The 27316-nt window shown below is 42.8% G+C and overlaps 1 protein-coding gene across 1 annotated transcript in view; it reads left to right on the forward strand.

Moving 5' to 3' along the window:
- SORCS3 (sortilin related VPS10 domain containing receptor 3) overlaps positions 1 to 27316 on the forward strand; it is a 623953-nt gene that overhangs the window by 187693 nt on the left and 408944 nt on the right. The window contains exon 2 of the mRNA NM_014978.3: positions 13810 to 13877. Within this exon, the coding sequence (NP_055793.1) occupies positions 13810 to 13877 (68 nt within the window). The remainder of the gene's footprint in view (positions 1 to 13809; positions 13878 to 27316) is intronic.

Raw genomic sequence — 27316 nt, forward strand, 5'->3', positions numbered from 1 at the left:
TTAAACTTTTTCCATCTCTTATGATCTCATCAAAGCCTCTCATCCACTGTGAGGATGTCCTGACCACCTCAGCTCAGATTCATCGTCTCCTCCTTTGAACACCTCTGGTAATACTTTAAACTCAAGAAGTGTGTTATATCTCTGTTGATTAATAGATGCCATATCAAAGAAACATTTAATAATACTTTCATAGTACAATGATGAGAAAATCAGGGTTCCTGTCCTGAGGAAGCATGTAACCTAGAGTCAGAGATGCATGTGCAGATAGAAAATTATAGTCTGGTGAGTAGCAAAATTGGAGGTATGTACAACAAGTTAGGGGAACATAGATTAAGGGAAAATCAGTTCTGTCTTTGAGAACAGCTGAGACATCAGAGTGTTGATATTTGAGCTGAATCTGGAAGCATGAGAAGGAAGGAGAGCATCAGGTAGAGAACAGGAGAAGGGCTTTCAGAGGAGGGAGAAGAGCATAATGGAAAGGTACGGGAAAGTTGAATAGGAGAAGGGGTATTCTAGTATGGCTAAAATTCAGTGGTCATTTGGGAAAGTGGCTCTAGAAGAGGTTTAAACTGCCATTTGGGGCCAGGTTGAGAAAGACCTTTTATGCCATGAGGAATCTGGATTGATTCTAAAGGCAGTGAGAAGCCACTAGAGAATTTTTGTAAGAAATTAAGTAAATGAGTTAGTTCAAAGGCCTTTGAGGCCATCTAGTAGCCAAATCCAATGGTTGATTTTTGATCTTTCTTGTAAATAAACTGTCAGCAGTATTTCACTTTACAGGGATCTGGTCACCCTCTTCCTTGAAATGCTTTCCTCACTCGGTTTCCAGAACCCATGTTCTCCTTGATATCCTTGTATCTCCCAGCCTGTTCTGTGTCAGCCAGGGCCTCTAACTCGAGATATTTTTTGATTTTAATTTTATTTTAAGTTCTGGGTTACATGTGCAGAACATGAAGACTTGTTACATAGGTATACATGTGCCATGGTGGTTTGCTGCACCTGTCAACCCATCATCTAGGTTTTAAGCCCCACATGTATTAGGTATTCGTCCTAATGTTCTCCTTTGCCTAGCCCCCCAACCCCCGACAGGCCCTGGTGTGTGTTGTTCCTCTACTTGTGTCCATGTGTTCTCATTGTTCATCTCCCACTTATGAGTGAGAACATGCAGTGTTTGGTTTTCTCTTCCTGTGTTATTTTGCTGAGGATGATGGCTTCCAGCTTCATCCATGTCCCTGCAAAGGACATGATCTCATTCTTTTTTACGGCTGCATAGTATTTCTAAAAGAAGAGATTGAATACAGGAATTGAATACAAGAGTGCTGGAAAGGCTGGAAGAGCAAGAAAGAGGAAAGGCAAGGCTGCTCAAAGATCGGTCACTGCAGGAACCATCACGTGACTGCCTAGGAGGAGAGGAAGCAGTACTAGAGGTCAAGGGTCTCTCCCACCTAGGTTCCTGCTGTGTGTGCTGAGGTGCATCAGAAGAACCCAGGAGCCTGTGCTGCTGGTTACTGAGACCCATCCCCATTGCTTCCACCACCTCTGTTGCTGCTGATGTGTTGTCACATCAGAAGCCAGATATGTGGAGAGGGCTGCTTCTCCCTCCTCCGCCAGTCCCCACTCATGCTTTCCATTGGCTGAACTAATCTTGAAGAGAGCTCACAGGAGAGTTTTAGAAATGTAATTTGCAGAGCCCTGGTTACCTGCCATACATAGGCAGGATTGTGGGGTGAGAGTAAACAGCACAGCCTACTTCTTTGGCTATTGTGAGTGTTCTTTTCCACCCTCCTGTTTGTATTTAACCTTGTGATTCTGCCTAATATAATGCAATAACTTCTTTTTTTTCTTTTGAGGCAAGGTCTTTCTCTGTCACCCAGGCTGGAGTGCAGTGGTGCGAATGCAGCTCACTACAGCCTTGACCTCCTGGGCTCAAGTGTTCCTCCTGCCTCAGCCTCCCGAGTAGTTGGGACCACAGATGTGTGCCACCATGCCCAGCTAATTTTTTTTAATTATTATTATTTTTTTTGGTAGAGGCAAGGTCTTGCCATGTTGCCCAGGCTGGTCGTGAACTCCTAGGCTCAAATGACACTCTCACCTCGGCCTCCTAAAGTGTTGGGATTATAGATTATAGGCATGAGCCACTGCACCAAGCCACGACAAATTATACCATGAGGATACTGTCACTCTCTATCAAGAAAGAGATTCATGAAGTTCCATTAGTTGCTAAACCTTCTCTGGGTAATGTTAATTGCTTTGTAGACCTATTACAATCCTGTGTGGATATCTTATAACCCAAAGTAGTTGTGAAGCTAACCAACACTAACGTTCTTTGTATAAAAGAAAAGAAACAGAGAGAGAGTAGGAGAAAAGAGAGTAACTTATGGGCACCATCTATTTATCTGTTTTGCCCTGCTGAACCTGTGGCTGGAATTACCCCAAAAGTGATGGAAGGGAAGTTCCCACAAGGGAGTGCCCCAAACGGTACCAAGATAGGGCCAGTTGCGATTCCAAAGAAAGAAGCACTAAATGCCAGGGTGATCAGTGCAAAGCATTTATTAGGGGAACTTAGTATAGTGCTGCAGCAATCCTCATGACAGACAGCAAGAGAAAAGGGGTGATCTACCTAGATCTGTCCAAGCAACGTGGTCAGGGAAAGGAGTTTATGAGACGGTTTAAGGCATTTAGCTCAGGGCCAGGACCTCTTTCTTTCAGTGTTTTGGGCAACAACCTAGATACCTTTAACAGTTCCTGGGAATGTTCAAAAGACCAGTGTAGGTTCAAGCCTGCTGGGGAAAACCTGCACCTTGCTGGGTCACAGAACAGTCAAGCACTCTGATTTTTCACTCAGAACACAGAAAGCAAGTAGGTGATGGGGGAGGGGGGTGTGGAATAGGGAATCCTGCATTCTCACTCATCTCTGTGCACACACATTCTGAGCCTTCTCTCATCTCTGTGTATGTGCACATAAAGCAGGCAAGGAGAAATATGCGTAATTGCTATTATATTCATTTCTGTTACTAGTCCTGAGGCATAGTTGATAGGCCATGTCTTTTTCAGCTACCCATTTTGTATTTCTTTTGCCCTTAGCAAATACCTCAGAGGGTTAAGGATTTCTACCTCATAGTGTGATAGAATAATTCAAACCGTCATTTCTGAAGAATCTTAGTCCTTAATAGTTCTGCCTTTACCACTGTAGTCTTCCGTTAACTTGTACTTCAGGACTTGAAGACAATAGGGGCACTTGAAATTAATAAGAGGCATAATAATAATAATAGGTTTCAGACATCATTCTCTTTGTCCTCATTATAAAACATCATCTCTGTTTCTCCTTGACAATAGGAACAAATCATCCCAGCTGGTAAGTAACCCCTTCATTACCTGTTTGTTCAGTGGTAGCATGAGAAGCTCAACACAGATGGATATTCCTTTCAGCTTCCAGTTCAATAGAACAGGTGTGACCGGGCACAGTGGCACACACCTGTAATCCCAGCACTTTGGGAGGCCAAGGTGGGCGGACTGCCTGTGGTTAAGAGTTTGAGACCAGCCTTGCCAACATGGTGATACCCTGTCTCTACTAAAAATACAAAAATTACCCAGGCATGGTGACACGTGCTCGTAATTCCAGCTACTCAGGAGGCTGAGGCAGGAGAATCGTTTGAACCCAGGAGGCAGAGGTTGCAGTGAGCCAAGACAGGGCCATTGCCCTCCAGCCTCGGCAACGAGAGTGAAACTCCATCTCAAATAAATAAATAAATAAATAAATAAATAAATGAACGAACGAACAGGTGTTTTGCCTCTTGGTGACAGTTCCCTCCTTGGGAAGCAATACTTCTCTGCTAACAGAGCCCCAAGTTGTGGGGACATGATTTAAATATTCTGTGGTGTCCTCCTGGATATGATAAGGAGAGACATCACTCACACTTTTCATTGTTGATGTTCAGACCTTGGTATTTGGACCATATTTTGGTGGGACCCACATCCTAGAGGATAAGCACCACAGCCTCACATGGGTGTCAGCTCCCAGATGGTGGTCATTGAGTTTTCACAAGTCCACTCAAGCATTGTATCAGTCCAGGTGCTCTGGGTGATCATGTTTATGATAAGACCAGTGAATTCCACAGACATGCCCATGACTGTATTTCATTTGCTGTGAAATGAGTTCCTTTGTTAGAAGTCATGTTGTATGGGACACCATGACGGTGACTAGCGCAATCTGAAATTGAAATGTTTGATTCTAGCATGATCACTACAGGAAAGGAAAGCAATTCCAGTGAGAAGAAATTGCCTTCTCTGAGATGAGAGGGGTGCTGTGCAATCAACCTGCCACCATGCACGATGTTGAGACTCAGCATTGGTTTCTTATGTTGGTAGATTGGGAACTCAGCAGTGATTATTTCCACATCAGCCTTGGTGGGGGAGATTCCATGGTGAGCCTAGGGGAAGCCTCAATCTCTGCCACAATGGCCATTCTATACAGGAGCCCACAGAGCAGACACAGGGGTAACTGGGGAAGAGGCTCATTGATCTCAACAGAAGACACCATCCTGTCCATCTGATGCTTGAAAGTCTCTATAGTAAACACCACGTGGTGAGCATTCATACAGGACACAAATATCCCCTGTGCCAATTTCGAGAGGTCCAAACAAACTGGTTTTTCTGCCTCGTTTCACTGATCTCTAAATGCTGACATGCCCCAGCTGTCAATCCTTATAGCTTTAGTCAATCCACACTTGGTCTCTTAGTGACTAGACCTAGACTCATGTCTTACAAGTCCATCCAATCACTGACAGCTCCCAAATTGATATTTGTAGCCTAAACTCTCTTCTCTGAACCCCAGACTCATTTATCCAGCTCAGTGTTTGACTTCTCCATTTGAATGTCTCTTAGGCATTTCGAAATTAATGTCTAAAGCTCAACTTTTAATCTTTCCTCCAAACCTTCTTCTCTCACAGTCCTCGTCTCATAAGACAGCAATTTCATGCTTCCAGTCACTTAGGCTCAAATGCTGAGGGTTGTCCTTGACTATTCTCTTTTGTTCACACCTCGTATCTAATTTGTCAGCAAATCTCCTTGGCTCTATCTTTAAAATATATTTAGATCCTGCCCCTCTTCACCTGTCTCCCCAGTCCACTGCTGTTACTCTGGTCCAGTCTACACTGCATTTCCCCTGGATGATTACAGTAGGCTCCTCATCCACTCTCGTCCCCTCACTGCCTTTCTAAACACAGCAACCAGAGTGATCTTGTTAAAACCTAAGTCCTCCATGTAAATCCTCTGGTGGTTTCCCATCTCACTCGGAGTAAGTACCAAGATTCTTACAGTGCTTCTCAAGGCCCAGTGAGATCTCAGCCTCCCAATATCTCCCTCACCTCCCCTCCAGCTTCATTAACTTGTTGTTCCTTGGTTACGCTGGGCACATTCCTGCCTTTGGATCTTTGCATCTGCTGCTGCTTCTGCCTGACATGTTTATTACCAAGAGCACCATGTGACTTCTTCCTTCACCTCATTCAGGATTTTAAGTGTCAGTTTCTCATAGAGGCCTCTTCTGAACTCCTTATTTACTTTTGCAACCTTCATTCCCCACCTGCCACCCCCCCAGCCCACCCTGGAACCACCCCTGTGTGTTTGCACTTTTTAATGTATTTCTCTTATTTCTTATTTCCTGCTTATTTTTTCCCCACAGTACTCACTGCCATTTGACTACTGCATTTGTTACCTATTTTTTTTTTTTCCTCTGCTAGGATATTATCTTAGAGGGGGCAAAGAGGCTGGTTTGTTTTCTTTACTGCTGATTCAGCACTTGGCAAAAAGGAAGCATGCTATACATATTAGTTTGGTGAATGAATGGAAAAATTATAAGGACCTGAAATTGGTCAATGTAGTACACCCCAACACATTTCAGGAGACTCGGTGTTTGCTTGCTATGGGCAAGATGAGAAAGGAATCATGCTGAGCCACAGAGTTGGTAATGCTCCCTTAAAAAAAAAACAGAGAAAGGGGTTAACAGTTTTGTAAAATTTCTTGCATCAGTCACTGACAAGTTGGTGTCTCTTGTACTATTAATAATTCCTTGTCTTCCCAACTAGATTGTAAACTCATGCTGTGCAATGGGCACTGTTTGTCTTATTCTGGACACCCAGTTGGTGTCCAGACATTCTCGTACTGTGGGTCAGTTGGGTTCTGGACTCTAGATGTTTAATTTCTACTCCCTGCAGGGGAGGCTCCTCTAGGTGGGAGGAAGATGCCAAGACTCACAAGACTATGCTGAGACTTAAAATACACTCCTGCAGGCAGTCCCCGAAGTGTATGTTTTAGCAACTTTCTTATGTTACCATTGTCTACCACTCCTGGTAAAGAAAGTCAGTGAGTCCTATTCCACTTGGCTGAAAGCAAAGAATTATCAGGTCTAGGCAGGAGTGAGGTCATAAGAGTGAGGGGACCTAGAGGTGGATGTGCAGAGAGCCCCATGGATTTAAAGGCACCAAGATTTTAGGAAGGTTTAATGAACTAAAGTAATTTTCCTTCAGAGTAAAATTTTACAGGCATTAAAGGTCCTCACTTCACTGAATGTGCTCACAGGCCAGAGCGTCCTAGTGATTTATGAATTTGCAGATTACACATTTCCTTTCTGAGAACAGGAATCCCCTGGGGCTTTCTGCCTGGCTTCCAAAGCTGAGTGGAGGTGCCAGGTGAGAGAACACTGGCTCTGATTTGCGGCCTCCTGCATTGCAGTTAGGGTCTAGAATGGATGAGCATTTTTTTAGAAGGAGCTCAGCAACTCTAGAATCTGAAACCTTTCCACCAAATATGAGTAACTAGAAGCTCTTGTCTTCTGAAGAATAATTGTCACACTTATAACTCATGTTTGCACAGTACAGCTTATAAAGCAAGCTGGCATCCCTTATTTGATTTGAATCAGCAACCCTGTGAGCGTGGCAGGGAAAGTGTACCATTACCCCATTTTAGTAAAACACAGCCAACTCCGCAAACATACCTGAGTTGTTCGGGCACATGCAGGAGTGTGCGTCAAGGCTGGGTCTTGAGTTCAGCCCTCTGGTTTCAGGTGCTGCATTCTTTCCATGTGGCCTTGCAAGCTCCATCCAGGAGGCAGAGGGCTGGATCCAATTGGGCAAGTGAATTTAGACCAGGAGATATTTAGGATTTTTGGGTGGAATAGGGACTGAAACTTTAGAGTGTGGGCACTTCCTCTCACATAGAAAATGGGATGTGTAGAGTCACACCAAATATCACTCTCCCCAACCCTGTCAGGGACTTGGACTTGTTAGTTCCAATACGGATAATCTTGGAAGGCAGCAGGTTAAGGAGGGCTACACATTTAAAGACCACAGCAACCATTAAAAAAATCACTTTACTATCAAAATTCTTATACTGTGCTTGGCATTGGGCAGGAATAGATGAATGAAAGAAGTGAGGAATAAAGGCATTAGTTGCTGGTGTTGCGTGTGTCTGAAGCTGGCTTGAGCATTTGGGGACAGCAGAAGATACTAGCTGCTTGGGGACAAGAAAATTGGAGGTGGATACTCTACAAAGACAGCTCCAACTGATTTTATAAGAAGTCAGCTATGTCCCTTATTGTCACCTTATTTATGGTGACATAAATTATTATAATCTTCTATTGTCACCGCCCTCTTCACTCTTGTAGAGCTTTTAATCAAATCATTACTGACTACACCAAGTGCAATCCCACTCTCCTTCTTGCACCCTTCCCTTGTCCTTTGTGCCTTGTTTCCCACCTTGGCACAGCCTTGCCGTGTCTCTGAGTGGATCCTGCGTATATCATGGTGCACTCAACACAGCCCATACTGCTCCATCTCCATGCTGCTTTTCTCATAACTAGAATGCTGCCCCTACCTCCTGCTCTTTTCTATCTACCCCTGTCCAATTTAAAAAGAAAAAAAAGAAATAAAGCAGACAAGCTCCATTTCAGTGTATAGAAATTCCTACCATGCTCTAAGACCCAGCTCATATAACCCCTCCTTCATGAAGACTTTGTTAATCACATTTTCTGGACTTAATTGCTTCCTCTTCTCAAATCTTATAGCACATTTTCCATACCTCTCTCCTACATTTATCATCTCATCCCTTCTTTTACTGCCATATATTTATAATTCATCCAAAGGACCTTGTATAGTACCTGCCATGTGTCAGCCGTTGTGCTTGGTGGTGGGAATACAGAGCTAAATGAGACCTGATTTCTGACCTCAAGGAGGTCACAGTCTAACAGGGAAGACAGACATACAGAGAAATCATATTATCCCAGTATGACAGAAGCTATAAGAGATGTATGAACAGTGTTATTTCAAATAAGATGTCAGATGCCAATTTAAAATAGTTATATGTACCTATATGTACTTCCATAAATGTAATTTTCCAGCTATACACACACACATATAGAGACAGACTTCTCTGCTATTCTCTCTGTGTGTATGTCTGTATATAGCTTGTAAGAAGAGAGAAGTGCTATTACTCATGAATTATTCCAATTTATTTTCATTTCTCCTGCTGTCTAAAATCCCCCCAGGATTATAGCCAGTTAGGTCAAAAAGGTACTTATTTGACAAAGCTTATTTGGTAAACCTGGCTCTCCCAACAATTTGCCTAGTTCTTTTCTCATTACACATCTCTGTTTCCTATTTTTCTCTCCAAGAACAAAGAAAACAAAAGTTATCTTTACCCCTGGGCCTTGAGCTCTAGATCTCTCTCCCTGATTTGCAGAGTTTAGCAGGTGTATTTCTAGTTCACATAAGAGGTACTCGGTAAATATTTGTGGAATTCATGAATGAATGATAAACTCCTTGAGGGCAAGGGTACGTTTTTCTCTTCTCTGCATTCCTATTCATTGCCTTGCACGGAAGCCCACATAAACACTTACTGAGTAGAGGAGCATCACGTTAGAGCAGAACAAGCATGGTTGAGTCAGACAGGCATGAGCAGAAATGCTGGTTCTGTCTCTTGCTGGTTGTGTGCTGTGGGGGCAATTTGCTTAACCCTTGGGACTCTGTTTCTTTATCTGTAAAATGGGCGATATTATATAATACCTGCTCTGTTTCAAAGGTTTTTTGTGAAGATTGAGAATTGCCCAGTGTAGTACTTAGCACATAGTAGGAGTGCAATTAATGTTAGCTCCTGCTTATGCTTCCTTGAGTTTGAGTCCCATTCTCATTCTGGGGCCATCAGCTGGAGGGGATTCAAGTCAGGTTTTGCTGTAGATCCGGAACTACCCCCTCCACCATCCTGCCTGCCATATCCACCGACTGGGTTTCCGGAGCCACACTCTCATCTCTTTCTGGTCCGAGTACTTGCCTAACAGCCCCGAGCTTGTTAGGTGGGTTTATTGCATCTACTTTCAATGTTCTTCCCTGGAAATTCACTCCTCCCCAGTGGCGTTTGGAAGGCTGTGAGTGGTGGGAGAGGTCGGGGTGGGCAGGCTTTCTCTTGCTCTTGGTTTTGTTTGCTTGGCATAGAATGTCTTAAGCCTGAAGGTTACATTATCATCTCTTCATGGCTCTATTAATATCCTTCTGGGCTGGGCTCCAGGGGAAAAGGAGTTTCCATCCTATAATTCTCAGTGTTTTGACTTTTCCTCTGGGGAATGCTGGTGTGACCACGCTGAGGTATCCTCCTCATACGTGTCCCACTCCCTGCTTTATTTGTAAGGTTAAATTCAATGTAAAGGAAGCAGTGTTTTGCTAGATTAGAATCTCACCGTGGTGGGGTGGGTAGTGTCACTGTAGCATAGAGGTGGGAAAGGAACCATGATGTGATGGAGCCTTTCTGGAAATGTGGTCCTCTGGTTGCCACAGAAGATTTTCGAATCCTACTCAGGGTCCATCGAGTCAGACTTACTGGGGGTGGGCCATGGAATCAGCATTTAACAGGCTCCCCAGTGGCTCTTAGGCTCCGGCTTTATTCATGGAATGGGAGGAGCACTACCTTGGGGGTACTTGGTCAAGGTCAGACATTGCCAAGGCTTAACCTTGAGTCATGTTCCCCTTTCTGGGGCTCCATTTTTTCATCTATAAAATGAGAGCAATAGACTGGCTTAATAGCATCTCCTGCTGAAGTCTGTGATTTACCAACACAATATCAATATCTTTCATTTACTCAAAAGCGATTATTGTATAAGAACCTTCAATATGCTGAGCCTGTGAAGGAGACAGAAGTACTAAACACAATCCCTACCTTAAGTTGTTTAGACTTTAGTTGAGAAGGCCACTCATGTAACGTTCAGAAACTATCAATATAGTGTTTGTGATAAATTGCATGACTCAATTTTAAGCAAAATAGGACTTCACAGGAGAGAACATTTTTGATGTCTGGGATAATCCTGGGAGGCCACCTGAAAGGGGTGGGCTTTTGACTGTTGCTCCAACATCAGGCAGGCAAGTACAGGGGATAATGAAAGGATGGGGCACAGGCAGTGATACAATGATAGAGCATGAAAGAAAGCAGAGATGTGAGGATGTGTTTGTCTTACCTGAGGTACCTTGAAAAACTTAGATTGTTTAAAACAGAGGACAGGTTTTTGCAAGCTAGAAAAAATGGTTGGAAGAGTATGCATGGGCCAGATTGTGGAGTCTAAGTGTGCCAGTCTAAGGAGTATGAATTTCATCCATTGGCGGAGGAAGCCAGTAAAGGTTTCTGATCAAGGAAGTGCATGAATTAAGAGGTAAAATTGAAACCATCTACCATGAAGGCAGAAGTAATATTCACAGAAGTGTGGAAGGATATGTGAGTCTGGATTCTCCAAGAAGCAGACGTAAAGATGAAATGAGATCTCTGAGAAACTTATCAGGAAAAATGCCCGTGAGAGAAAGTGGGAAAGGAGCCAGAGCAGATTGGGACAACTGCTGGGCTAAGATGGACATCTGACCCCCCGGTGAAGGAGATGGGTAAGGAAGGAAGACAGGCAGGTAGGCTGGCTGGGAGCATCTCAGACTGTAGTGAGGTTCTGTGGAAAGTTCAGCAAGGCTGTTAGGAGATCTTAGCATCAATGTCACCCATCAAGGAGTCCTGTCACCCAGGAATGTGTCTGCCTAGTATTCCTGTTGCTTGTAACCATTGGCCAGGAGCAGCTTTTGTGGGGTGTGGGCTTGGCAAGAGGTAGCAATGGATTTCAGAGCACAACAGCTGGAGTGCTTAGTCAATTATGCTTCCTGCAGGTGGAGATCTGAGAGGCATGTTCTCATGGCAGCTACTGAGAGGAAGGAGAAACTAAGGAGAGTCTAATAATATTCTCTTGAGTGGTTTATCTGCAGAACGCCTGCGTCTTTGCTCATGATGCTTCCTCCATGTAGAAACACTTCAGCATTCCCTTTAGCTAGTTAGTTTCTACTCTTTCTAGGTATTAGTTTGGGTTTCACCCTTAGGAATCCTTCCCTGACCTCTATCTAGTTTCTGTTTTTGGTGCTTCAACATTCCCCGGTTTTCCCTGCATTCCCCACCACAGCACCTATCAGTCTATATAGGAATTGCCTGCTCATTTCTTAGGTTTCTCCCCTACTAGACTAGACTGTGAGCTACTAGAAGGAAGAATCTGGATCTTTTATTTCTGTATCCCCCATGTATAGCCCAGTGGCCAGAATATCATAGTCATTTAATAGAGGAAGAAAGGAAATGATGGAAGGAGGGAGGGAAAAAGCGGAGTGGTCCAAGCTTTGAGTAAGGAGAAGGGTTTTCCAGATCTAGTGGTTAGAAGCTCTGCTAATTAAGTGAAACTCTTACCCTCAGCATCTCTTTCTTCATTCTATGTAGATTTTGCACTTTTTAGAGGCATGTGCCCTGAAGGCTTGATGTTGGGGAAAAATGATTTTGGAGGCATGTCCTCTGAAGGCTTGATGTTGGGGAAAAAATGAAATGGTCTGACTTGCTCCTGCAGAGCCTGAGGTGGTCATTCTGACTCATTCCTAGTAGATCAGTTTTGAGCTTTTTTACTTTTTCCAGAATTTGGCATGGCCTGCACATAGCCTCCCATGCTTTTACACGGTGACTTTAAGAAGGACTTGGTACATGAAATAAGGTCAAATGAAGAACAGAAGAACTTTGAGGTGTGTGTGTGTGTATGTGTGTGTGTATACCATATATACTGATTCAACAAACAGAAATTATCTGGCAACTTGCTAGACACTTGGTGAGGCTATGGATAAGTTTATTTCTCTGTTAGTCTCTGGCTTTAATAAATGAGGAAACTAGTTATGAATGGGAGGGGCAAAGACCTCTAAGTGACTGTAGAGAACAATTCTTTGCATGGGTTCCTCACTCCTTGCTGTTGTGCTGTGGTAATAAGACAGGTAGCTTGGTAGAGTCTACTGTTCTACAAATAGCCATGCCACTGGTGTGTGCTATTAATACATACTCTTTGATTTGTGCTGTGGTAGGTAGTAGGACAGGTAGCTTGGTAAATTCTACTATTCTACAAATGGCCATGCCATTGATGATGTTTCTTGCCAACCTGCCATTCCTCATCGCAGAGAAATTGAATATTCCCGTCACCTTTGGCACATAATGGATCATATCCCTTGCCTTTAATTTTTTTCTTGGTTTATATAGAAGAAATGGAAATGGGGCTGATTGACCCCATAGAGTGCTGGATGAGAATAAATCTCAAAGTGAGCATTTTGTTGTTAGTTAAGTGCCATAAAAATGTGCAATATAATGGCTGATTATTTTTCTTTAATCTTAAATGGATACCTAGAATGGGAAAGTCCCATCTCGGTAGCAGAAATTCATTATCTCGGAAAGAATTTAATGGTTGCTGTGAAAATGAACTGGAGGAAGTTAAATTGTGGAATGGGAAGGAGCTGAAAAAAGTGAAATGAGTTGTGCATTAAATTTAGATAAACACAATTATGTGTAACTGGATTATCACGCGTGCAGGCAGGCAATGTGTATTATGCACCTGCGTTTTGATTAAAATCGATTCAGGTGCACGCACTTAGCATCCTTTTAAATGTGGAGCTGTGCCTAAGCCACTGCCCGGATGCATGAGAGGCAGGTAGGGCAACATCTGACAGCCAAGTCCCCAGCTAGAGAAAGCGCATGGGAACAGACTGGTCAGCCCAAGATTGGTTAAGAAAACCACCAACTGGATTACTGGTAGCCTCAGCTCTCTGATACGTCCAGCTTCCTTTTGGGTTACTTAACATCAACTGATGTCAAGAAAGTGGTCATGGAGTCCAGTGGGGTTCAATGATCTGCTTACTCCATAGTAGTGGGGGCAGGTGATACATGGTCGAAGGCAGATGGTATCAGGGGATGTTGGGGAAGTAGGCCTGTCTGCATTCAGGTATTTATGCCTGCCAAGGCCCTGTTGATGGAAACACAAAATCTCTTTGAACCCCTTTTACAGACAGAATCAGGACCACTTCCCTTTTACCCTTTTAGTTCCAATTCTGTAAATCAGAGTCATCTCTGGATCAAAAGCAAGCCTATCATCTGATCTCTGGGTGGCCTTGGTGGTGAACAAAGCCAGCTGGCCTGCATCTGACCTCGAAGGAGGACAGATGTGGAGAAACAGCTGTCAATAGCCAATTAATTCCTGTTGGCATGTTTTATTTCAAATGCAAGCACTGTCAGGATTAAAATAAATGCTACCAGTTACAGGGATGCATTAAATTAATAACTTTTTCCCCCTTGCTTAATCCTATAATACCCCGCAACTCAATGGATAAATACTAAGCCCTCCTCTGGGTGATAGGAGATGCATTATATATTGTTACACAAACTAAAGTAAGCTTCCTTTTTTCCCTCCCTTTGTTCCTCTCCTTTGCCCTTATCCCCAACCCCTTGCAGGTCATACTTATCCTGACGAAGCTGTATGACTTCAACCTGGGCAGCGTGACTGAGAGTTCACTATGGAGGTAAGCAGATTAGAGATTCTTAAGGAGCCACCCTGGCTTGGCTCACATGAGAAACGCAAGCTAAGCAGTTGGGAAGTGTGGACTGGAAGGAGCAGAAGATAGTCCTCTTCCTGGAAGCTCATGTTAATGCTCTGGGTGGAACTGATGGCCCCCACCTGTGAATTCCTTTCCTGCTCTGCTTATCTCTTTTGGGACCTGTTGCAAATACACCTTGGCCCTCTCATTGCTTCTGTGCTTTTGGAGTGTCTCATTCTACTTGAAGAAGGTGGGGCCTGGCTAGAGAGATCAGATAAACATGCACGAGTAGAGGTTCTTGATTAGGAAGCCTGCTGTAGGAGAGATTCTTGTCCTGGATGTGTGTCTTGGCCAAAGGACTGCCTCCAGCCCTTTGCATCTGCTAGATGCTGTGGTTCTTGAGAAGGCAGTATCATGGGGACAGATACACATGGGAAGAGATACAGATACAAGTCTGCATGATGATGTTCTGATCCCCAGGCAATTTTGCCTTCAGGGGCCCCTTGCCCCATAAAATAATATTAAAAGGTCTGTTTTACCACTGCGTTGGTATAAAGACAACTACATTAATATCATATATTAAAACACTTGTTTCAGCCCAGTTTATTCTTTTGATTTTAAAATAAAACACTTTTGGGGCCTCTAAGACTATTGTGAGCCTAGCTGCTGTACCTCTTGTGCCTAGTGGATAAGTTTGCCCTGTTAACAATGATTGTGCACACAGGACGAGGGAGAAGAGGGATGTGGGTGAGTGAAGTTAGAGAGAACCTTAATAAAGCCATGAAACCAGGAGTTTCTCAGGACAGGGAATGCCCGTGTGTTACACACACTTACGCCTATACCTCCTCACGTACATATGCACATCCATACGACCACATTGACGTGCAGTCACACTGGTCGACAGCGGGTCTTATCAGTCACTGGGACTTGGTGCTTCACCCTCTCTGCTAGGTCCATGAGACTTGAGGTGTTGTGTGTTTTCTCCCATTTACCTTGTGATGTGTCAATACTGGGCAGGAAGCTGTCACAAAAAGCCATGCATCTGGCTGCATCATCATCCCTACTAAGTCCTGACCTGAGGGTTTCCTGGGGTTTTGGAGCAGAGGGGACTGGGGTGTGAAATGCTTCTTCATCTGACCTGTTTGTTTGCAGAGAACTAGGCAGCTTCTCTCCAGGAAAGAGGGAGCAGTCGCAGTATCTATTAAATATTTAGGGGTTAATTGCTCATGTCGACTGAGGCCTGCCTCCATTTTCACAGGATGTCTAAAACCTAATTTTGCTGCTCAGTGAAAATTGGCAGAGGTATAAGTAACTAGCATGCCTCGAACAAATGAAAGCATGACTATTTCCACTCACACGGTACTTTCCAGGAAATTAGAACCTCAGAAACCTCCCTTCAAGCCCAAGCACAATGATGCTGTGTGATACTTTAAGCCTCATTCCTGTGGTGTCTGCTTGGTCAAATCATGAAACAAGCCAGAAAATTCTATCTTTATATTGAAGAACAGCTATTCCTGCTACTCCATGTTGCAGAAAAGGTTTGGCTATTTCTAGGAGCAGGCTAGGCAAGTATAGGAACCTAGGCCAGTTGCTTAATGCTAGAGGCCTTCAAGTTATGAAGGGTGTTTCTCACAATTTCAAGAGTCAGTGTATTCATCAGTATGTACCAAGAGACACTATATAGTTTGGTGTCTGTAAGGGTACCCTGGTGTTCAATTGCCAGGATTGAAGTCCCAGTTTGTCCACCACCAAGCTGTGTTATTTTGGGCATTTTACTTAATCTCTGTCTATTAGTTCCCCAGGGCTGCCATAACAATTACTACAAACTGAGTGGCTTAAAGCAACAGAAATGTCTTCTCTCACAGTTCTGGAGCCCAGAAGTCTGAAATCAAGGTGTCGTCAGGGCTGTGTTCCTTCTGAAGGATCTAGGGTTCTCCTGGATAAACCAGGATGACCTCATCTTGAGATCCTTAACTTAATGACATCTGCAAAGAATCTTTTATCAAATAAGGTTCCATTATAGATTCTGGGAGTTAGGATGGGGACATATCTTTTAAGGGAGTTTATCATTCAGTCCACTTCACTAAGTCTGTTTCTCTGCATATAAATTGGGGTTAGCACAGAACATGTCTTTGCTCTAGCCTCATTTTACTTGCTATTCCTCCAACGTACCAACCACACTTTTCCTGAGAGCCTTTACACTCAGATTTTCCCTCTGCCTAGTGCTCCCAGGTGACAGGGCAGACACCTTACTTCCTTCCTCTCTCTGGTCATAGGTCACCTAATCATGAGGTCCTTCCCCAGGATTCCAAATTCCATCACTTGGCTACATTTTTTTTTCTTGGTCCTTATCACCAGCTGGCATATGCTAAATGTTTACTTGCTGGTTTGTTTATTGTCTTCCCACACCCACTCACATCTAAGCTTGTAGAGAGAGGGAATTTTTTTCACTTTAATTCAGTGCTGTATTCTCAGCATCTAGAAGATTATTTGGCACACAAGAGGTGCTTAATAAATGTTTACTTAGTGAATAAATTAATGAATGGGCTGTTTTAAGGATTAAGTGAAACAAATATAAAAACATTTAGTCCAGTAACTCACATGTAGGAAGTGCTTACTTAACTGTAATTGTTAATGATTGTCATAGCCCTGTGTTTGGATAGCATTTTCATTCCATTGTTGACTTTGTTTTTAAGGATTCCTTGCTGCAGAGGTGCATGTGAGGGAATTTATAAGACACCAAGCGGGTGTAGTCTGTATTCTCTAGGAATTAGCAGAGATCTTTGAGGTTGAAGGTTGGGGGTTAGGGAGGGGAGAAGAGTGATTTAGAATGTTGTCCCTTGTGCTAGTTGGGAGGAATTGAAATACCAATTTCTGTCTAGTCAAAGATATTCTTTATAGAAAAGATTCTCCAAGCTGGGTGGTGGCATGAAGGGAGGGATGCAGTTTGGCAAGTGGAGAAATGTCCCTACCACAGGGCAAAGTCCAGGTGAGGCTGGTCTGCGGAAGAGAATGGAGCCAGACGGGAGGCACAGGGAGCAGCTGAGTGCTGGACCAGGTCCGGAGGGTGTGGAGATTGACCAGGTTCACAGAAGGGGCCCAAGCAAAGGGAGTTACTCAGAGCGAATTTACAGATCACAGATTCCATATGGTGTGACCTTATGGGGATTTGGAAAGCTGGTGAATATTATGGGTTTTCCGTGTTGACCAATATCATATATGAGTATATTTTTGTGTTAGGTTTCAGGAGGTTCATGGACCTGATAAAGCCCCAGCTTAGGAGCCACTGGATAGAGTGTGACTGAGGAAAGGGACTGCTCCTAAACTTTCTGGGGGTTTCCCGGTTTGCTGGGACCTCATCGGGAGTCTTCTAACTTTTTACTGTCTTTCTCACGTATCTTCTAAAGATCTGTATCTCCCGTTCTCTTTTCCTGTACTGATAATGATGTATTTTATAGTTAGAGCCTAGAGCCGTATGATTTCCCTTCCTAATACAGTGTGCAGACCAAAGAAACTAAATTAAACATGCACCCTTTCAGCTTCATGATTCGGCCTAACATGCTTAACCAAGTTGAAATTGAATTCAGTGATCTTCTTCAGTGTTCTGTACCATCAAGAAGCCTGGAACAGCAGCTGTCATGACAAGATGACACCCCCTGTCAGGTTGCAATGTGATATAATTATCTGCCTTACTGGATTAATAATTCAGAGGCCATCTACTTCTAAATAGACAAAAGATTGTTTAAAAGCATTAATTTGTGTAGCAGTATCTTGTGCCCTTGTGACATTCTTTCCAGAATACCTTGGTGCTCTTCTACTGGTGGTGGCCAAGGTTATTTCTTCACCACCACCAGAGTAGTTATGTAAATTTGTCGTTTAGCACAACCATCTGTTGGTATCCCTTAGTCAAAAAACACTTTACCTATAAGATATCATGTGTAGAGAGTTCATGAGGTTGGGGACTGACTTGTTTAAAGGAACCAGGGCTTTCCCTGAGTTACCTGGGTCATAAGGCTGAGATTAGGAGCACTCCCTGGCTCTTCATCTGAGCCTCCTTCCACAGTGTCATATATCCATCTTCAAAAATGGAAAGTCTGCAGCTAGACAGACATAACCCTCCTATTTATGTCTCTTCCATTCCTAACAAATGTAGGCCATTGTCATGTGGTAGGGTGGTGCTATGGACTCAAAGGGAGGACCACATCTTTCTCATTTCCATGAGAACTGCATATGGTGCATGCTTTGGTGCCATATTTATGCCCTCTGCACTCGTGGATGCGCGTGTGTCTCTGCCTCAGTTGGTGGCATTCATGGTCCTCAATTAGGGAGGAAGGATGTCACTTTTCTCTGGAAGTGGAAACTCTGATAGTGCCAATTAATCCACTGCTCGAGGTTATTAAATCTTTACTTTTGAACATATGTCCTGGTGAGGATTTATGTTTCTGATTGGCAGATCGTTTCTTGGACTCATTTCTGTATGTCTTGGACATGAGCCCTTGGACTGATAAACAAAAACTTTAAAGAAGTTTAAGTTACCCCCTTCTGGAGGGAAATGAGTTAGCAAGCAATTCTCCAGCTTCTGCCTGTCCATCCTAAGCATGACTGTTCATCAAGGGTCCCTGACTGATCAGCTTCAGAACAAAATATACATGGTAAAGGAACTTCAGGTGTGAGGTCACCACAGGTATGCAGTCCCCACAGGTGCAAGGTGTCCACAGGTGTGAGGTCTCTGCAGGAGCTCTCCTCTGGCTGCTGGTCTAGGGTCTTCACAGAGCTAAATGAATTTGCAGTTGTCTAGGCATGAGAGGAAACAGGAATCATTTGCAAAGAATGATCCCTTCAATTGGTAGACCTTGGTTCTTCACCTCTCTCCTCTCTTGCTTTATTGCACCCACCCTTAGCCTTGCTTTATTGCACCCACCCTAGTAGTATGGGAGCCATTCTACTATTAGAAAAGCAACCAGACTGCACAGCCATTCTTCCTGTATGCCTGGCTTCAGGATGCACCATAATTGATTATGATATATATGGAGAGTACGGATTCCCAGGCACTTCCTGCTGGAGACCTTTCATGACCCTCCTTTCTGGGTGGGAGGCTCCTCTTCTGCTTATGGGTAGCTTTATATCCTTACACCATACTGGTGATTCGTTCCTAGCCTGTGAACTTCTCAAGGGCAGGGACCGTGTGCCTTAGTTGTTTCTGGATCATTGACAATGCTTAGCATTTCAACTATACTAAATAAGGATTTGGAGACCTGACGAAAGTTTTCAATAGCCCCAAACCAATCCCAGCACCAGCCCCGCCTTGCCGTGTCCCTTTCCATGTATTGAGTTGTCTCATACTCCTGCCACTTGGGGATTCTGTGACTTTTCATCTGGTTCACAAGCTGTTGTCTGGACCACTTATTTCCTCCTTAATTGTTCTGTCAGTGACCTTTCTCGGGGATGCTGCTTTTTTAAAATAGAAAATGGAGACCTTTTGAATTTATGAATTTTTTGTTTGCCAAGAAAACCCTGATAATAATTGCTAAGACTTCCCAGAAGTTATTAGTTTACAAATTTTAATGACACTCATGATTTATTTATGCACTTCCCTCCCTCTACAGCTGCTCACCCCAATTCCTTGGTGGAATTCCTGCTGAATCTGAGTGAATTAGTGGAAACAAAACTGCAGATTGGAATGACATTTTTTGCTAGGCTGTTAATTAAAAGCCTTCCACCCCATTCGCTAGGCTCTTTATATGTGAGGTCCCGAAGGCTGGGCTGATATAAGCTGTGAAATCCTCCGTCTAAAACTGGGACGGTCTCCTATTTGTTTGCTGTGGTAATCAATCTGGTGGAAACTCCTGAATGGGTCACAGAACTTTCAACTGAACCTATATTAATCGAGCACCCATTATGTAAGCAGCCCTGCGCTCATTGCTGGGAGATACAAAGTATGTTATGCTTGCTATCCTCAAGGAATGTTTCATTTGGTTGGAAGATAAGATGAATGTACATGGGAAACAACAGCAGGCATATGCAAGAATATATACATATCCACAGAATACAGTGCATTTTGCAATGACTGGCTGTGCTCTAGAAATACTTGTATGTTTATTATTACCACCCCACTTCATTCCATAAAAAATACAAAACAATTCTAGGAATGAATCGGAGAAGAGAGCAATATGGCAAATATATTTTGTTTTGCTATTTAATATATTATATCCTATTTTTCCATTGGGATGTGTGAGCTTCTTAAAAAGAAAAACAGCCAGGCCTGGTGGCTCATGCCTGAAATCCCAGCACTTTGGGAGGCTCAGGCGGGTGGATTACCTGAGGTCAGGGGTTCACGACCAGCCTGGCCAACATGGTGAAACCGTGTCTCTACTAAAAAATACAAAAATTAGCTAGGCGTGGTGGTGGGTGCCTGTAATCCCAGCTACTCGGGAGGCTGAGGCAGGAGAATCACTTGAACGCGGGAAGCGGAGGTTGTAGTGAGCTGAGTTGATGCCACTGCACTCCAGCCTAGGCAACAGAGCGAGACTCCATCTCAAAAAAAAAAAAAAAAAAAAAAAAAAGGAAAGACTATTTCAGGTATTGGTAGTTCCCATGGTTCCTAGAAACACCTGGTGACAGTGGGTGGCATATATAGTGTTTAAAGGGGGTAGGTCTTGGATTCAAACAGCCTGGATGTGAACCCGAGCTCTATTGCTTACTAGCTATAACACCTTGAGCAATGTTTTCATCTCTTTGAGCCTCAGTTTACTTTTCCATAAAAATAGAATGATAATAAAGTCTATCTCATATAGGTTTTGTGGAAATTCAGTGAAATAATGCATGGAATGCAAAAGTTGTCAATGTAATCAGTATTTAATATAATAATTCTGGTTTGTTCATACCCTGTTAGCTCAGCAGCCTCAGCCAGGCTCCAGATGACAACTGTGCTAATACCTTTAGGAGGATGGGGTACAGAACAAATCTAGACTCCTAGGCACATCATGCCTGGAAATTGTGCATTTCTACTTGAGAGAGAATATTCCTGTCTTCCCCTTTATGTTCTCATCTGTGTTTGGCAAAAGGTGAAAGTTAACGTATTTCTTGGTTTTCATACACCAGATGCTGCTGCTGCTGCTGATTTGGGGCACAGGATGCAAACAAAGTACAATCTGATTTTCAATTTCTTCAACACAGTGTTAACTCGGTCTTTATTGGTTTCCTTTTCATATAACTTTTGGAGGGCCTAAGCCCATTGAAGAGCTTTGCTATCTCCCAAATAATTAACATGGAAGGCAGGGTGGGGCCATGCATGTTTCTCAAACTTGTTGCATCCTCAGAATTACTTGTGGAATGTGTTAAACATCTAAATTTATGGGCCCTACCCAAGAGATTTCAATTTAGTAAGGCTGGTCATTACTCAGGAATTTATTATTTCAAAAGCTTCAGCCAGGTGCGGTGACTCGCACCTATAATCCTAGCATTTTGGGAGGCTGAGGCAAGCAGATGGCTTGAGCTCATGAGTTCGAGACCAGCCAGGGAAACATGGTAAAATCCCGTTTCTACAAAAAATGTTAAAAAATTAGCCAGGCATGGCGGCATGTGCCTGTAGGCCCAGCTACTGGGGGACTGAGGCGGGAGGATCTCTTGAACCTCAGGAGGTCGAGGCTACAGTGAGCTGAGATCAGCTACTGCACTCCAACCTGGGTGACAAAGTGAGACCCTGTCTCAAAAAGAAAATAAAAGCTCCTTGGTTGATTCTGATCCTAGGTAGGATTGGGAACCACTGAACTCACCCGAGGAAGCTTGGGTTCTAGGCCCACCTCTGTTACTAATTAATCAGATTACTCATGCCGTCCTTCTGTTTCTTCACAAATAAAGGTATTAGACGAAATGATCTTTTGAAACTCTTTCAACTCTGAGTCCACAGTCTCTGCCATACTGGGAAGTCAAACAGGAAGCACACACAGGATTTATGATACCCAAAAGATACCTTTCCTGAGCTAACAGCACTGCTTCTGAGCACAACCACCTTCTTTCATAAAATCTGCTGGTGAAGTTGCAATCCAAGTGTCAATAAAATAACTTACTCTGCTAACTTGCTGTTCACTGATGGATATTATCCAGTTGGCAGACATTAGCCAGAACACCTGTCTAAACTACTTAGTTTGAATTCATTAAACATAGGGAGCATCATGCAATCTATGAAAGTCTTTGTTCTGAGAAAAAAAAATAGAATGAGAAATGAGTTTGCTCTAAATATTGGGCCCTCAGACATCTTACTTTGCTAGAGAATTGAGAAATGAGAACACTGGAGAAGTAGATCTGGATTACAGATTTAATATTTTCCTATTTATTATGGGAAAGAGGGCTTCTTTTTATGCCTCTTTTTTCTTCCACTAGGCAGGACTGCAGCGTGCATAAATCTTGATTTTTGGCCAGTGGCTGAGAGAATGTAACACTTTTCTATGGATTGTGTCTGTGGATTGTTATTTTATGTTGTATTCCCTTTCCTCCAAATGCAACACCATTTTATCACAATCTTAAATAACCCTGCCATTTGGATAAAAGGTGTGAAATTCTGCCCATCCCTGTCCACAGCCTGAGCTCTCTCTCATTTTCTCAGCAGTCAATTCATTAGCCTTCTAATGCAGTTGATAAGTGAATAGGATCAGACAGTCTCTTCTAAAATAACATTTATAGGTGGATGCATTTCCTTGCTCTCTAAGGTAGGCCTTAATTTATTTCCCTGCCAGATGTCCATGTGTGTAAAACTGTGATAGGTGGGCCCTTGGAATGTGGTTTGAAGCCAAAAGAAAAAGAAAAAAATTCAACTCACACAGAGCCTATCTATTTTCAAGTTTATAGGAGAGTGATTTGATATACCCCATTCCTGCTTATATATATAATGACTATAAAGATTAGGTAGTCAAACTTTCATAGTTACTTTCTCATCGTTTGGTGGCCAATTACTTTATTGGACATAGTCTATAAATGTCATTAGGAGGTTTCTGGCAAATTCCCTTGTAAGACCACTGCCCTAGACATTATTTGGGTGAAAATATGTAAACTGGTAAAAGACGTCTCCTCCCTGTTACACGTCTGTGAGATTTCTTTATAAGAATCACTGAACTTAGGAAGTTTTTTATATCTTAATGTTGCTTCCAAATGTTTTGTGCCCAAGTTAAAGCTAAAGCTGAGCTGTCTTCCAATACATAAGGTTTATCTTGTAAAAGATTCCCCCCTTCACTGCTATTATTCTCTTAAACTTGTATACTATTTTTAGTCATTGTCCACATGAATACGGGACAGTTCTAATATTTCTGGGAGGAATGTAAGGCCTGTGTAATTGAACATTCCATTTTGCAGACAGATCTGTGGTCCCTAGTGGGTTTGTGGTCAGTGATTTCAGATCTGGGACCCCAATCTGGATCTTCCAGTTCTCAGCAGCCCCTTTTTCTTGCTGTCATGTTGGTAAGCATGCTTTCCTGGCCTTACAGATTTGGCAACCATTCATGTTTCATGTGAGATCTATGGCCGAGGGACTATTTTGGGACTAGTAGTTTCCTTGGATATTTGCCTAAGTGATTTTCAATTCACGTGGATTATGAGAATCACCTGGGAAATTTAAGAAAAGTCAGTTTCCTGGGCCTTATTCTAATCCCACTGAATCAACTTCTGGGGTCAGGATCTATGAACTTATAGTTTTAAAGAACTCCCCTCTTGATTCTGATGTGCCACTGATCCAAGGCACTTTATGGCCATCTTTGCTTCTAAAATGTCATTTGCTTCTAAAGTTGTTTTGGATAACTCTCCCACAGCATACCACCTTTCCCTCTACCCATCTTTCTTCCTTCTGGCTCAGAGTGATGAGCGTAATCATTCATGCAGAAATCCATAGTTGCTCCCTCCTCTTTATAATGACGACCATAAAGGTTAATAATTGGAATGTGCTCTGGCACTTACTAATGAGCTTACATTCTGTCAGCATCAGGGCTGTTTAATTGGGCAATTAACACTGATCTTAGAGAGTGGTTCCACAAGAGAGTGGTCATGAGGTGCTGCTCCCCTGGAGCTGTGCTTGAGATAAGCCTTATGAGGGTCAGTTGGCCGTCAGGAATCTAGGTTCTGGTGGGGATCAGAGGACACAAAAACTGGGGAATAGGCCGGGCGCGGTGGCTCATGCCTGTAATCCCAGCACTTTGGGAGGCCAAGGCGGGCGGATCACAAAGTCAGGAGTTCCAGACCAGCCTGACCAACATGGTGAAACCTCATCTCTACTAAAAATACAAAAAGTTAGGCAGCCATGGTGGCGGGCACCTGTAGTCCCAGCTACTCAGGAAGCTGACGCAGGAGAGTTGCTTGAACCTAGGAGGTGGAGGTTGCAGTGAGCCAAGATTGCACCACTGCACTCCAGCCTGGATGACAGAATGAGACTGCGTCTCAAAAAGCAAAACAAAACAGAACAAAAGCTGGGGAACAGATTCCAGGTGCCTTTTGAAGGCTTTCTATTCATAAAGGTTTTTGGTTGCAAGTAACAGAAACCATTGCTAACTTAAGCAAGATATAGGATTTGTTGGAAGGATACTGGAATTGCCCAACATTTGGAAGAAGAGATGAGCAAAAAAACCCCAGTAGTGACAAAATTCTAGGAATCTCCAGCAACCATAGCAGCTGGATGTCATGGATTTACACTCCAGTGAGCTGCTATGAGATGACAGCTGCCTCCTTTGAGGTTTAAATTCCTGGAAGAGAAAATGGAAGAGACCACTTGGGTCAAGGAGTCGAAACTTTAACTGTATTTAGTAGGTAAGAGTTTCCTGGCCCAGCTGGCCCTGTTGTTCGTATCTATGCATAGAGAGACTGGGATGATCAGCAGCAGGGCGGCACATGGTTCTGGGAATACCAGACATCACAGATACCACATGCTTCCTGATGGATTCTAGTGTACAGATAAATATGTACAATTTTAAAGAACATCCCTCCAATTATAATATTTATTTAAGAGGCCATCAGTTATTATGTGTCAGAGAATGTTCCAGGAGCTTTAACCATAAAAATACCACTTATAAAAACCTTGCAAGGGTTTTACCCCATATTGGTGGATGATGAACCCGAGATTCGTGCTGTCAGTGGGCAAAAGAGATGAAGTTTGACCTCAGATCTGTAAAATGCCAAAATCCATTCTTGTCTCACTTGCCCCTTGCTGTCTCCCCGAATAGCTTTTAACTCCCAGTTTAGTTCGTGAACATTGTCTCAGCCCTGGACACTCATTTCCACATCTGTTCTCCTGAACCTTAGACAATGTACAAAGTTTTAACAGTAGGGTCTTCATAAATGAAGGTGATATGATTGGTCACATAATATCTCTGCAATTTTTATTTCTTGTAATGCCTCCCTCCCAACCCATCCCCACACTAAGAGATGCAAGTAGAATGCTCTTAGTCATTCACAAATTCTCCATTCTTCATAGGAGAGGTGGTGGGTGATTATAGAAAATTGTCTGGGATGAGTGTGCCATTTGTGTTCACACATTTTTAATGCAAATTTTATTGATATAACTGAATATTCACAGGCAGTTCTAAGAAATAATACAGAGAGATATTGTGTATACTTTACTCAGTCCCCCTCGATATTTTGCAAAGCTACAATATAATATCTCTAGGATATTGACATTGATATAATCCACCAACATTATACAGATACTCTAAGGTTTAGTTGTACCCATTTTTTTGTGTGAGTTTGTGTGGGGGTGTGGGGAAGGTAGGTTTGTCTATCTGCCCTCATAGTTATGATGCTGAACTGTTCCATCACTACAGGAATCTCTCATCTTGCCATTTTATAATCACACCTACCTCCCTCACCCAAAACCCCTAATCGCTAAACCCTGGCAACCACTAATCTGTTCTCCATTTCTAAAATTCTATTATTTCAAAAATGTTATAGGGTCATACAGTATATAACCTTTTGATGCTTTTCTCACTTTTCTTCATTTAGCATAATCCCCTGGAGATTCATGCACTTTTTTGTGTATCAATACTTCCCTTTTATTGACAAGTAGTAGTCTAGGGTATGAATGTACGTCAATTTGTTTAACCATTTACCTGTTGAAGGGCATTTGGGTTGTTTCTAGTTTTTGGCTATGGAAAATAATGCTGTTCTGAACATTTGAATACAGGTTTTCGTGCAAACATGTTTTCATTTTTCTGGGATAAATACATATGAGTGCAGTTTATCCTACCCTCCTTGAATTGCTTTTGCCCCTTTGTCAAAAATCAGTTGTACATATTTATATGGGACTGTTTTTTGCTGTCCATTCTGTTGCATTGGGATGTGTCCATTCCTCTGCCAGTACCATCCTCTTCATATTATAGTGATATGGTAAGCCTTAATGTCAGGCAGAATGATTACTCTCACTTTATTCTTCTTTGTTTTAGCTGTTCTAGGGCCTGTGCTTTTCTGTATATATTTTGGAAGAAGCTTGTCTCTGTTTGCCAAAATCAAAACCCTGGTGGGGTTTTGATAGGAGTTTTGTTAAACCTATAAGTGAATTTGTGGACTACTGACATCTTTAGTATATTGAGCCTTTGAATCCATGAACATGGTGGTACATCTTTTAGGTCTATGATTTCTTTCATCAGCATTTTATAGTTTTCACCATATAAAATCTGTGTGTATTTTGTTAAGTGTACACTTATTTAAGTATTTCACTTTCTTTGGAGTGATTGTAAAATATATTGTTTGTTTAATTTCAGTTTTCACATATTTATTGCAACTGACCAGAAAATGAAATGGGATTGTCTTTTGTGTGTTGACATTATTTCCCCAAGACCTTGCTCAACTTATTTGGTATTTGCTTTTGAGTGTGTGTGTGTGTATGTGTGTGTGTGTGTGTGTTTTGAGACAGGGTCTTACTCTATCACCCAAGCTGGAGTGCAGTGGTGTGAACATGGCTCACCACAGCCTTGAACTCCTAGGCTCAAGTGGTCCTCCTTCCTCAGCCTCCTGAGTAGCTAGGACCACAGGCATGTGCCACCATACCTGGCTGATTTCTAATTTTTTTGTAGAGATGGAGCCTTGCCATGTTGTCCAGGCTGGTCTTGTACTCCTAGGCTCAAGTGATCCTCCTGCCTTGGCCTCTTAAGAAGTGCTGGGATTACAGGCATGAGCCACCATGCCCAGCCATGCTTTTGAATGTTTATTGTGAACTCAGCACGGTGCTAGGCGTTTTCTGAATGCATCAGGAAACAGAGTGAAGTTCTCTAATGAGGTATGTAAGCCTATTTGGCTCTACTCAGACCCTGTATTAGTATAATTCATTTAATGAGACCTACTGTGTACAATATCTTTCCTAGGCACTGTGGGCCATATGAGAATGTAGAAAAGATTTTCCCTTCCAGGTGCCCCTAATTGGTTGGTCTCTCTCTCTCTCTCTACATATATAT

This window comes from Homo sapiens, chromosome 10 (genome assembly GCF_000001405.40).
Source record: "Homo sapiens chromosome 10, GRCh38.p14 Primary Assembly".
Taxonomy (NCBI): Eukaryota; Metazoa; Chordata; class Mammalia; order Primates; family Hominidae; genus Homo; species Homo sapiens.